The sequence below is a fragment of the Homo sapiens genome, chromosome 11, assembly GCF_000001405.40.
Source record: "Homo sapiens chromosome 11, GRCh38.p14 Primary Assembly".
In the NCBI taxonomy this organism is placed as follows: domain Eukaryota; kingdom Metazoa; phylum Chordata; class Mammalia; order Primates; family Hominidae; genus Homo; species Homo sapiens.
This window is the reverse complement of record NC_000011.10, coordinates 62,727,956-62,740,909: the sequence shown is the minus strand read 5'-3', so window position 1 is coordinate 62,740,909 and position 12,954 is coordinate 62,727,956. Positions and strand designations below refer to the sequence as shown.

At 47.0% G+C, this 12,954-nt stretch overlaps 1 protein-coding gene across 7 annotated transcripts, besides 2 other annotated features; it reads right to left on the bottom strand.

Moving 5' to 3' along the window:
• Positions 1–2,273: 2,273 nt before the first annotated feature.
• TTC9C (tetratricopeptide repeat domain 9C) lies at positions 2,274–12,861 on the bottom strand. Of its 7 annotated transcripts, NM_001318814.2 has the most exons (5): positions 12,174–12,424; positions 11,824–12,087; positions 7,711–7,792; positions 5,346–5,528; positions 2,274–2,622 (listed from the first exon to the last, which is right to left on the bottom strand). In NM_001318814.2, exons 4-5 carry the CDS (start codon positions 5,512–5,514, stop codon positions 2,528–2,530), a joined length of 264 nt encoding a protein of 87 aa, NP_001305743.1. In that variant the 5' UTR covers positions 5,515–5,528; positions 7,711–7,792; positions 11,824–12,087; positions 12,174–12,424; the 3' UTR covers positions 2,274–2,527. The 7 variants fall into 7 exon arrangements, with proteins under 7 accessions (NP_001305743.1, XP_047282783.1, NP_001305741.1 ...); XM_047426827.1 differs by lacking the exons at positions 7,711–7,792; positions 12,174–12,424 and adding an exon at positions 12,749–12,861; NM_001318812.2 differs by lacking the exons at positions 7,711–7,792; positions 12,174–12,424 and adding an exon at positions 12,683–12,733.
• Positions 12,043–12,152: an enhancer, noted in NCBI's record as "active region_4843". NCBI's record gives its function as "activates an Ori minimal core promoter by ATAC-STARR-seq in GM12878 lymphoblastoid cells {active_cell/tissue: GM12878}" and the evidence as "EXISTENCE:reporter gene assay evidence [ECO:0000049][PMID:35858748]".
• Positions 12,543–12,742: an enhancer, noted in NCBI's record as "active region_4842". NCBI's record gives its function as "activates an Ori minimal core promoter by ATAC-STARR-seq in GM12878 lymphoblastoid cells {active_cell/tissue: GM12878}" and the evidence as "EXISTENCE:reporter gene assay evidence [ECO:0000049][PMID:35858748]".

The following is a 12,954-nucleotide window of genomic DNA, read 5'->3' as shown; positions in this document are numbered from 1 at the left end:
AGTCTCACTGCCGCAGGCTGGAGTGCAGTGGCGCAATCTCAGATCACCGCAACCTCCGGCTTCTAGGTTCAAGTGATCCTCCCGCCTCAGCCTCCCCAGCAGTTTAGTAGAGATGGGGTTTCGCCATGTTGGCCAGGCTGGTCTTGAACTCCGGACCTCAAGTGATCCACCCGCCTCAGACTCCCAATGTGTTGGGATTACAGGCATGAGCCACCGTACCCGGCTAGTATGTATGTTTTTAGAAGATGTGATAATCTTTTCTTTTTTTTGAGATGGAGTCTCTCTCTGTCACCCAGGCTGGAGTGCAGTGGCGTGATCTCGGCTCACTGCAAGCTCCACCTCCTGAGTTCACGCCATTCTCCTGCCTCAGCCTCCCGAGTAGCTGGGACTACAGGCACACGCTACCAAGCCCAGCTAATTTTTTTTTTTTGTATTTTTAGTAGAGACGGAGTTTCACCGTGTTAGCCAGGATGGTCTTTTTTTTTTTTTTTTTTTTTTTTTTTTTTTTTAAGAGAAATGAGGATACTATAGATAAGCACCTATTAAAATTTAAAATGTTCACTTAGGTGTTTTCTTTAGCATGAGGTCTGAAGGGTTTATTAAATAAATACTTAAATGCTTTACTCCAAAGGTTTTAAAATAGTTTAATGAAAAAATAAATATAGTGTATGAATGATCTAAGTATGAGAAATAGCAAGGACAAAATAGCAAATATTTTTGTAGGGGAGAAGGAATCTGAATGTGTATGGAATATTAAGGAGAATAAGAAATTAATTTAACAGGGGCTGTGGCGGGGGGTGGGAGAACATGAGGAAAAATAGCTAATACATGCTGGACTTAATACCGAGGTGATGTGTTGATAGGTGCAGCAAACCACCGAGGCACACGTTTCCCTATGTAACAAACCTGCATATCCTGCACATGGATCCTGGAACTTAAAATTAAAAGAAAAAGAAAAAATTAAACAAAATGGTTACTTTTGGCCAGGCATAGTGGCTCACACCTGTAATCCCAGCACTTTGGGAGCCCGAGTGGGTGGATCACTTGAGGCCAGGAGTTCAAGAGCACCCTGGCCAACATGGCAAAACCATGTCTCTACTAAAAAGGAAATACAAAAAAATTAGCCGGGCGTGGTGGCACATGCCTGTAATCCCAGCTGCTTGGGTGGCTCAGACACGAGAATCACTTGAACCTGGGAGGCAGAGGTTGCAGTGAGCCAAGATGGCACCACTGCACTCCAGACTGGGCAACAGAGTGAGACTCTGTCTCAAAAAACAAAAAGTTACTTTAGTATATTTGGGCTTATTTATTTATTGAGACACGTCACTCTGTCACCCAGGCTGGAGTGCTGTGTCAGGATCTTGGCTCACTGCAACCGCTGCCCTCCAGATTCAAGCAATCCTCCCACCTTAGCCTCCAGAATAGCTGGGACTACAGGTGAACACCTGGCCCAGCTAATCTTTGCATTTTTTTTTTTTTTTGAGACGGAGTCTCGCTCTGTTGCCCAGGCTGGAGTGCAGTGGCGTGATCTCTGCTCACTGCAAGCTCCACCTCCCGGGTTCATGCCATTCTCCTGCCTCAGCCTCCCGAGTAGCTGGGACTACAGGCGCCCACCACCACGCCCGGCTAATTTTTTGTATTTTTAGTAGAGACGGGGTTTCACTGTGTTAGCCAGGATGGTCTCAATCTCCTGACCTCATGATCTACCTGCCTCGGCCTCCCAAAGTGCTGGGATTACAGGCCTGACCCACCGTGCCCGGCCATCTTTGCATCTTTTATAGAGACAGGGTTTCACTGTGTTCCCCAGGCTGGTCTTGAACTCCTGGACTCAAGCTATCTATCTGTCTACCTCTGCCTTCCAAAGTGCTGGGATTACAGGCGTGAGCCACCATGCCCAGCCTGGCTCATTTATAATTGTCTAGTTTCCAGTACCTGAGACCACAGGCGTGTGTCATCTTGCCAGGCTAATTTTTGTATTTTTAGTAGAGACAGGGTTTTACCCTGTTGGTCAGGCTGGTCTTGAACTCCTGACCTCAGGTGATCCGCTGGCCTCAGCCTCCCAATGTGCTGGGATTACAGGCATGAGCTAGAGCGCCCGGCCATATTTCCCACTTTGGTTTGGGCTTCTGAAAAAATAAAGGAAGACAATTCTTTCTGCCTATCCTTACTATGTCGTCCTCTGCAAGCTGTCGCCTCTGTATATAAGTACATCTAACAACACTGTCATGAAAAATCTATACCAGAGATATGATTAATTCCACCCACAACTGATGTATGTTTTCTGATTATATTTCTCAAGCCAAATATCTGCAACAATAACATGTATTGAAAGGTATAGAAATAAACAGATGGATAGACAGAAAAAGACTCAGACTGTCTAAGTAGTGAAGTTTGTGCAGAACTAGAAACAAAAATCCACCTGGGTCAGAGGTATAGGGTTAATTTCTCTTGCTGAGGCTCAGATTTCTCCTTCATGCATGTTTAATGGTCCACCTAAGTTCAACTGGAGGAGCATCTTTCTTCTTTGTTAACCAAACATGCCCAGGTAGAGCTGCTTCTCTTTTCTATGGTAGCTGCTGAGTTCTGACTGTGTCAGCTGGAGGTACCGCCGGACGTTGGCATCTTGGAAGATGATGGAGAAGCAATTAGAAACAGTTAGAGTCAGTTAAGACCATAATCATACCTTGTGGCAGGAGAGAATGTTAACATGCTCCCATTTTAAAATCTCTCCAAGATCTGAATATATCGCAACCATTCTATGCAATAGTAAATCTCATTAATTAATAACATTTGGAATTGAAAAAAAACAATCTCTGTCCCGGCTGCTAATTTTTATTTATTTATTTATTTATTTATTTTATTTATTTACTTACTTTTGAGACAGGGTCTCGCTCTGTCACCCAGGCTAGAGTGCAATAGCATGGGATCTCCACTTACTGCAACCTCCGCCTCCCGGGTTCAAGCAATTCTCATGCCTCAGCCTCCCAAGTAGCTGAGATTACAGGCATGCACCACCATGCTTGGTTAATTTTTGTATTTTTAGTAGAGATGGGGTTTCACCATGTTGGCCAAGCTGGTCTGGAACTCCTGACCTCGTGATCCACCCGCCTTGGCCTCCCAAAGTGCTGGGATTACAGGTGTGAGCCACCATGCCTGGACACTGGTTGCTAATTTCATAATGAAAGCAAGATTGATGAAGCAGTTATCATTAAAATAGAGCCTCTAAAGATACTATTCATATAGGTGGCAGTTAATTTATGTATTGGATGCTGAGAAACATGAACAAATGGCTTATATTTTATATCTTTATTAATTCATAATGGCTTTCTCATTCATTTAGATGAGATTTTACTGCACTGCTATACATTTGGTGACTCTGCTACTAGTATCCAGTGGCTATTGTAAGCCAGAATGCAAAAGGGAGACAATTTTCAGTGCTCAACCAACCAACACAGGAATGAGTCTCTCATCTGCTTCACAATATCCTTTTTGCCTTGGAAACAAAGTAAGTCCCAAATTCTCTCTCAGCAGGACTGCCCTTTTTCTAGGTCATACCTGGGGTTAGCTGAGCTAAAGGATAAAAATGATAGCTAAACCAAAGGCCAGACCCCATTTGGAGAACTGGCAGAATGAAAATTATCAAGTGTATTTGTTGGCATTCACACATCCTATTCCAATCACTGTTTTTTTGTTTTGTTTTGTTTTGTTTTTGAGATGGAGTCTCCCTCTGTCTCCCAGGCTGGAGTGCAGTGGCGCGATCTTGGCTCACTGCAAGCTCTGCCTCTCGGGTTCACACTATTCTCCTGCCTCAGCCTCCCGAGTAGCTGGGATTACAGGCGCCCGCCACCACGCCCGGCTAATTTCTTGTATTTTTACTAGAAACGGGGTTTAATCATGTTAGCCAGGATGGTCTCGAACTCCTGGCCTCACATGATCCGCCCACCTTGGCCTCCCAAAGTGCTGGGATTACAGGCATAAGCCACCATGCCCAGCCTCCAATCACTCTTAAAGACCAGGAACAGAACTTGAAAAACGACACTCGCTTTTTTTTTTTTTGGGATGGAGTCTGGCTCTGTCGCCCAGGCTAGAGTGCGACACAATCTCAGCTCACCGAAACCTCTGCCTCCTGGGTTCAAGCGATTCTCCCTGCATCAGCCTCCTAAGTAGCTGGGATTACAGGGGCCTGCCATCACGCCCAGCTTTTTTTTTTTTTTCCGAGACGGAGCCGCCCTCTGTCCCCTAGGCTGGAATGCACCGGCAGGATCTCAGCTCACTGCAAGCTCCGCCTCCCAAGTTCATGCCATTCTCCTACCTCAGCCTCCTGAGTACCTGGGACTACAGGCCCTCACCACCACGTCCGGCTAATTTTTTGTATTTTTAATAGAGACGGAGTTTCCCCATGTTAGCCAGGATGGTCTCGATCTCCTGACCTCGTAATCCGCCCACCTCGGCCTCCCAAAGTGCTGGGATTACAGGTGTGAGCCACTGCGCCCGGCCACACCCGGCTGATTTTTGTATTTTTATTTTTTTTAGTAGAGATGGGTTCCGCCATGTTGGCCAGGCTGGTCTTGAAATCCTGACCTCAGGTGATCTGCCCGCCTTGGCCTCCCAAAGTGCTGGGATTACAAGTGTAAGCCACCGTACCCAGCCCCAAAAAACAACACTGTTTTTTTTTTTTTTTTTTTTTTTTGAGACAGAATCTCGTTCTTGTTGCCCAGGATCTCGGCTCACCGCAACCTCCGCCTCCTGGGTTCAAGCAATTCTCCTGCCTCAGCCTCCCGAGTAGCTGGGTTTACAGGCATGCGCCACCATGCCTGGCTAATTTTGTATTTTTAGTAGAGATGGGGTTTCTCCATGTTGGTCAGGCTGGTCTCAAACTCCTGACCTCAGGTGATCCACCCACTTTGGTCTCCCAAAGTGCTGAGATAACAGATGTGAGCCACCCCACCTGGCCTGCCTATTTTATATATATATTCATGTATATGTATAAATATATACACTGTATATTTATAAATAAAAGCACGTTGATATACATATATTTATATATTAGAATAGGCATACATACATATATGAAACAGACATACCAACATATATATTGTGTATGTCTGATTAAGCATCAACCCCCTACACATGAAACTAATAATACTGCTTTTCTGTGGAGACAAGAACACAAGAGTGGAAAAAGGTCTGTTCATCGTATACTTTTTCAGTTCGAATTCTCAACCATGTGAATGTATTACTTATTGAAAATAATACATTGGCAAAGTAAAATAAAACCCCCTTTCCACAGATCCACCCCAGCAAGACAATTTTGTCTTTACCATTTCAAAGCCCTTCTTGCTTACCTTTAGGCTGCCTATTCACGGCAGCCAGGAGGTAGTGGCGGGCCTGGTCATAGTCCTGCAGATGGAAAAAGGCCACTCCGGCCCGATACAAGGCCTTGGCATTATCAGGCTGTCGTTCCAGGACTTTCTGACTATATTCTCTCACTCGTTCGTAGTTCACGGGCTCCATCTGAAGGAGACAAGCTAATGGGCCAAATGAAAAGAGAGAAGAGGTAGGAGGGGCTCGTTACACCAGGTTCCACTGGCCAGCTCAAGACAGTACTGAACAGGGTGGTAACAACATTCAGTCAACAAATGCTAAAGTGTCTCCCATATGCCAGACACTCTTCTACACACTGGGGATGCAGCAGTGAATAAAAGCTTCACATATCGGCCAGGTGCAGTGGCTCATGCCTGTAATCCCAGCACTTTGGGAGGCCGAGACGGGTGGATCACCTGAGGTCGGGAGTTCGAGATCAGCCTGACAACATGGAGAAACCCCGTCTCTACTGAAAATAAAAATTAGCCAGGTGTGGTGGCGCATGCCTGTAATCCCAGCTACTCGGGAGGGTGAGGCAAGAGAATCGCTTGGACCTGGGAGACGGAGGTTTCGGTGAGCCGAGATCGTGCCATTGCACTCTAGCCTGGGGAACAAGAGTGAAACTTTGTCTCAAAACAAAACAAAAAATTCATATATCTTGTAATCTACTTCAATATTTACTGATTTTCTGCTACATATTTAGTAGCCAGTTAGGCTTGGCTATAAAGCTGGTAAGAACATACTTTAAAATTTATTTAAAACTCGGCTGAGCATGGTGGCTCATGCTGTAATCCTAGCACTTTGGGAGGCTGAGGTAGGAGATTTGCTTGAGCCCAGGAGTTCAAGACCAGCCTGGGCAACATAGTGAGACCCTCCCCTGTCCCTTTTTTTTGGCAGAGTATTCACTGCAGTGTTATAAGAAGTGTATTCCGAATAACAAATGTATTCTTTTTTTATTATTTTTTTAAGACAGAGTCTCACTCATCAGCTAGGCTGGAGTGCAGTGGCATGATCTTGGCTCACTGCAACCTCCAGGTTCAACCAATTCTTCTGCCTCAGCCTCCCGAGTAGCTGGGATTACCCATGTCCAGCTAATTTTTGTGTTTTCAGTAGAGATGGGGTTTCACCATGTTGGCCAGGCTGTTCTCAAACTCCTGACCTCAAGTGATCTGTCCACCTTGGCCTCCCAAAGTACTGGGATTATAGGCATGAGCCACTATGCCCAGGTGAGACCCTATTTTTTTTTTTGAGATGGAGTCTCGCTCTGTCGCCCAGGCTGGAGTGCAATGGCGCGATCTCAGCTCACGGCAACCTCCGCCTCCTGGGTTCAAGTGATTCTCCTGCCTCAGCTTCCCGAGTAGCTGGGATTACAGGCACACATCACCATGCCCGGCTAATTTTTGTATTTTTGTAGAGATGGGTTTTCGCCATGTTGGCCAGGCTTGTCTTGAACTCCTGACCTCAGGTGATTCGCTGGCCTCAGCCTCCCAATGTACTGGGATTATAGACGTGAACCACCCTGCCCAGCCCCCTCATTATTATTATTATTTTTTGAGATGGAGGTCTCGCTCTGTCGTGCAGGCTGGAGTGCAGTAGCGTGATCTTGGCTCATCGCAACCTCTGCCTCCCAGGTTCAAGTGATTCTTCTGCCTCAGCCTCCTGAGTAACTGGGATTATAGGCGCTCACCACCATGCCTGGCTAATTTTTGTATTTTTAGTACAGACGGGGTTTCACCATGTTGGTCAAGCTGGTCTCGAACTCCTGACCTTGTGATCCACCTGCCTCTGCCTCCCAAAGTGCTGGGATTACAGGCGTGAGTCACTGTGCCCGGCCCCATTAATTTTTTATATAAAATTAGATATGCAGTGAGCCGAGATTGTACCACTGCACTCCAGCCTGGGTTATGGAGCAAGACTCCATCTTAAAAAAAAAAAATTAGATAAATTACAATTTTTTAAAAAACAAACTAACCTTCATTGTATCTCTTCTACCTGAGGCTCTATGTCCTGAATCCCCCATTTCACCACAGTTCTTGTACTGCAGCTTTGTTAATAATGGTTGCCATTAATTGTCAGGAAATGGCAAGCGCTGTGCTATGTGCTTGATATACACTGTCTTGTTTAATCTTCGCATCTACACTATTAAATAGGTGTTACTATCTTCATTTAGTGGATGAAGAAATCAAGACTCAGACAAATAACTTGTCTAAGATCTTACAGGTTCTAGGTGGAATATGAAATTTGAATGAAGTGTTGTCTAACTCCAAAATCATCATTCTCAGTAACAATACAGCATATAACTTCACTATTCTCTTGGATGACTTAATGGGACCTTGAAATACAAACCTGCAGAGGAGTCAATTCAGGCAATTCAGGTCAATGTTCTGCCTTTTTATGATTAAGAAGGGAAACACTCCCTATTTCACAACTGTGGGAATTAAACATAGTATTATTAAATCATGGTGCTGAGAAAGATCAAGAATCAGCAGTGATGAGCACATTAAAGGGCCTGTGCTGATGTCTGTATCCCTTCTACAACATCCCCACCAAGTGGTCAAAAAAAAAAAAAAAAAGTGGAGGAATACAGAAGAAACAAGTAAATGAATTTTTTGTTTGTTTGTTTTTAGACAGAGTCTCCCTCTGTTGCCCAGGCTGGAGTGCACTGGTACGATCTTGGCTGACTGCAACCTCCACATCCCAGGTTCAAGCGATTCTCTTGCCTCAGCTTCCCAAGTAGCTGGGACTACAGGCACCTGCCACCACACCCAGCTAATTTTTAAAATATTTTTAATAGAGATGGAGTTTCACCATATCAGCCAGGATGGTCTCCATCTCCTGACCTCGTGATCTGCCTGTCATGGGCTCCCAAAGGGCTGGGATTACAGGCGTGAGCCACCGCACCTGGCCCAAGTAAATTAATTTTTTTTTTTTTTGAGACGGAGTTTTGCTCTTGTTGCCCAGGCTGGAGTGTGCAATGGCGCGATCTTGGTTCACCACAACCTCCGCCTCCCAGGTTCAAGCAATTCTCCTGCCTCAGCCTCCCTAGTAGATGCGATTACAGGCATGCACCACCACGCCTGGCTAATTTTTTTGTATTTTTAGTGCAGATGGGTTTCTCCATGTTGGTCAGGCTGGTCTTGAACTCCTGACCTCAGGTGATCCGCCCACCTCGGCCTCCCAAAGTGCTGGGATTACAGACATGAGCCACCATGCCCGGCCCAAGTAAATTAATTTTTAAAAGTGCTTTAAGAGGCTGGACGCAGTGGCTCACGCCTGTAATGCCAGCACTTTGGGAGGCTGAGGCAGGCAGATCATGAGGTCAGGAGATCGAGACCATCCTGGCTAACACGGTAAAACCCCGTCTCTACTAAAAATACAAAAAATTAGCCAGGCGTGGTGGCGGGCGCCTGTAGTCCCAGCTACTCGGGAGACTGAGGCAGGGGAATGGTGTGAACCCAGGAGGCAGAGCTTGCAGTGAGCCAGAATTGCGCCACTGACGCCAGCCTGGGCGACAGAGTGAGACTTGGTCTCAAAAAAAAAAAAAAAAAAAAAAAAAGTGCTGACCAGGCGCGGTGGCTCACACCTGTAATCCCAGCACTTTGGGAGGCCAAGGCGGGAGGATCACTAGGTCAGGAGATGGAGACCATCCTGGCTAACAAGGTGAGACCCCGTCTCTACTAAAAATACAAAAAAAAAATTAGCTGGGCGTGGTGGTGGGCGCCTGTAGTCCCAGCTATTCGGGAGGTTGGGGCAGAACGGCATGAACCTGGGAGGCAGAGCTTGCGGTGAGATCACGCCACTGCACTCCAGCCTGGGCGACAGAGCAAGACTCTGTCTCAAAAAAAAAAAAAGTGCTTTAAGAAAAATAAAACTATGTCGGGACAGAGAATGAATGAAGTCAGAGTGCTGTTTGCTTCTGGAAGGCTTTTTGGTGGGAGGAATCGGGGGACAGAGTCTTACTTGCTCTGTCACCCAGGCTGGAGGGCAGTGGCCCAATCTTGGCTCACTGCAGCCCCGGCCTCCCATGCTCAAGACATTGGCCCACCTCAGTTTCCAGAATAGCTGGGACTACCGGCAAGCACAACCATGCCTGGCTAATTTTTGTATTTTTTGTAGAGACCGGGTTGCGCCACATTTCCCAGGCTGGTCTTGAACTCCTCGGCCTACCAAGGTGTTGGGATTACAGTTGTGAGCCACTGCACCAGCTACAGAAGGCTTCTCTAAGGAAGCAACTTTTGAGTCCAAATCTGGATAAGTGTCATTCAAGGGACAGGGCATTCTAGCTGGAAAGACAGCCTACAAAAGTGTGAAGGTGGAAATGTACTTTGGACATTAAGTGTATAAAAGGGCCAGTTTGGGAAGGGCATGGTGGCTCACACCCATAATCCCAGCACTTTGGGAGGCCGAGGTGGGTGGCTCACCTGAGGTCAGGAGCTCGAGACCAGCCTGGCCAACATGGCAAAACCCCGTCTCTACTAAAAATACCAAAATTAGCCAGGCATGGTGGCAGGTGCCTGTGATCCCAGCTACTTGGAAGGCTGAGGCAGGAGAATCGCTTGAACCTGGAAGGCAAAGGTTGCAGTGAGCTGAGATCACGCCACTGCACTCCAGCCTGAGCAACAGAGTGAGACACCGTCTCAAAAAAAAAAATAAATAAATAAAATAAAAAATAAGGCCAGGCGTGGTGGCTCAAGCCTGTAATCCCAGCACTTTGGGAGGCCGAGGTGGGCGGATCACCTGAGGCTGGGAGTTTGAGACCAGTCTGACCAACATGAAGAAATCCCATCTCTACTAAAAATACAAAATTAGCAGGGCATGGTGCCACATGCCTCTAATCCCAGCTACTTGGGAGGCTGAGGAAGGAGAATTGCTTGAACCCGGGAGGCGGAGGTTGCAGTGAGCCAAGATCGTGCCATTGCACTCCAGCCTGGGCAACAAGAGCAAAATTCAGTCTCAAAAAAAATAAAAGAGCTAGTTGGTGCTGGGGCCTCGAGGTGAGTTTGGATTTTCTTCTAAGTGTGATGAGATGCCAATGGGGTGTTTCAGGCAGTGACAGGATCTGATTTCCTTATCTGTAAAATGGTGATAATCCTTGCAGTTTTGTGAAGATGGCAGATATCTGTAAATGACTGCCCAACATGTTATAGGCACTCAATAAATAAAAATTACTGGGCCGGGTGCAGTGGCTCATGCCTGTAATCCCAGCACTTTGCGAGGCCGAGGCGGGCGAATCACCTGAGGTCAGGAATCCAGACTAGCCTGGCTAACATGGTGAAACCCCGTTTCTACTAAAAATACAAAAAATTAGCCAGGCGTGGTGGCACGCGCCTGTATCCCAGCTATTCCAGAGGCTCAGGCAGGAGAATCGCCTGAACCCGGGAGGAGGAGGTTGCAGTGAGCCGAGATCGTGCCATTGCACCCCAGCTTGGGCAACAAGAGCGAAGCTCTTCTCAAAAAAAGAAAAAGGAAAAGAAAAATGAGGAAAAGCTATACGACCCACTGAATATAAGGGATCTAAACTAGCAGCTAAAGAAATGAACGTGTTTCACAAATATTAAATGTCCCTTAAATAAACAATGGCCTGACCTTAAGTATAGTTTTTCCCTATAGCATGCAAAATTACCTAAAGCTATCAACAATACCCAGAAGGCTGTTAGAAATGCAAACTGGGGCTGGGTGCGGTGGCTCACGCATGTAATCCCAGCACCTTGGAAGGTAGAGGCGCGTGGATTACCTGAGGTCAGTAGTTCAAGACCAGCCTGACCAATATTATGAAACCCCGTCTCTACTAAAAATACAAAAATTAGCTGGGCATGGTGGCGCATGCCTGTAATCCCAGCTACTCAGGAAGCTGAGGCAGGAGAATCGCTTGAACTCGGGAGGCAGAGGTTGCGGTGAGCCGAAATCACGCCACTGCACTCCAACCTGGGCAACAAGAGCGAAACTCCGTCTCAAAAAAAAAAAAAAAAAAAAAAATTAGCTGGGCGTGGTGGCTGGCGGGCGCCTGTAATCCCGGCTACTGGGCAGGCTAAGACAGGAGAATTGCTTGAACCCGGGACGGGGAGGCTGCAGTGAGCCCAGACCGCGCCAGTGCACTCCAGCCTGGGAGACAGAGCGAGACTCCATCTCAAAAAAAAATAAAATAAAATAAAATAAAATAAAATAAAATAAAAAAATAAAGAAATGCAAACTGATAGGCCCCACGTCAGACCCATCCGAATCTCTGGGGATGGGGCCGAGGAGGTTGTGTTTTAACAGACTCTCCAGGTGAAGTCTGAGAAGCCCTGCTCTATGGCAACTTAATTACAGCCGCACAGATTGACAGGTTATTCCAATTCATGGCAGAATAAATGGATGACAGTAAAAAAAAAAAAAAGTCAGCGTTTTTTCCCCCAATGTTCACAGATGTTCATGTTCCTGTCTTAATGCTCTCTAGCCACCCTTTAGCCCCGTTCTTACCAGCTAGATTGTTATAGCAGTCTGTCTGGGTGGTATGCAATATGTTTTCTTGTTCAGGCGTGAGGGCCGGGCCCTGAGGTCCGAGATTAGGTAACGGAGAGGGCAGACTCGGATCCAGACCCCGCAGCTGAAGCAGAGCTCGATGGTACCTACTCACAGCATCTCGGTACTTCCCTTCCCGGTAGCGCTGGTTCCCTTCCTCCTTGTACAGCTGAGCCTCCTGCAGACGCTTCTCCATAACTGTCGCCCACGGTTCTTGCGGAACTGGGAAGTGAAGGAGCAAGTGAAGCTCTGGGGTTGGGAGCAAAATAACTGACAGTAGCAGCCAATTTAAGGAGGCAGGAAATTACCCTTCTTCCTGGAGAGTCCCCCCACAGGGACCTGCGGTTTGCTTGTTTCTACTGAAAGCCCCACCTCTCCTTTCTGCAGTCTTTTTCTCAAGAAGTGCAGGCAAGTAGTAAGGAAAGGGATGTGGGAATAATGAAGCCCAACATTAAGTGACTTCCTAAAGAGGCGATGTGGGGGTGGATGAGACTTTCCGAAGAACTCAAGCAAGGCCCTACTCAGGAATTGTTGCGGGCGTGAGAACGCCTGGGACACTGGCTTCCGCCTTTCTATTGGACCCGCCCCCCCCCGACCTGGAAGTAGAAGGGAGTGGGCGGGACTAGTGCTAAAACTCCAGAGGGCTTCAAGCAATTCTAACTCTTCTTCCTTATTCAACATTTATTTGTTGACGTCAATAAATAAACTGGGAAGCCGAGGTGAACCACCAGCGACACTGAGGTGTCCACATAAGCGTCACAGCTGCAAGCCCACCCGGCGCCGTGACCAGTTCCTCGCCCTCTGCAGATGCCCAAACCTGGAAGTCTCCTGGGCTTCGGTTTACCAGCAGGAGCAAGGAGAGGAAAGGGTCAGAGATGCGTACAGTTTGGTATCTTGAGGGTCGCGCGCATTGCGCCACACCACCCAATCAGAAGAGGCTCCGGAAAAATAATCCCGCAGAAACGACCCCGCCTCCTCAGCGGACCAACCTGGGAAAAAAAAAAAAAAAAAATTCCCCTGGCAGCTTCGCCAATTGGAAAAATCCGGACGATCACGGATGACCAATCGGAACGGCAAATGACGATTCAA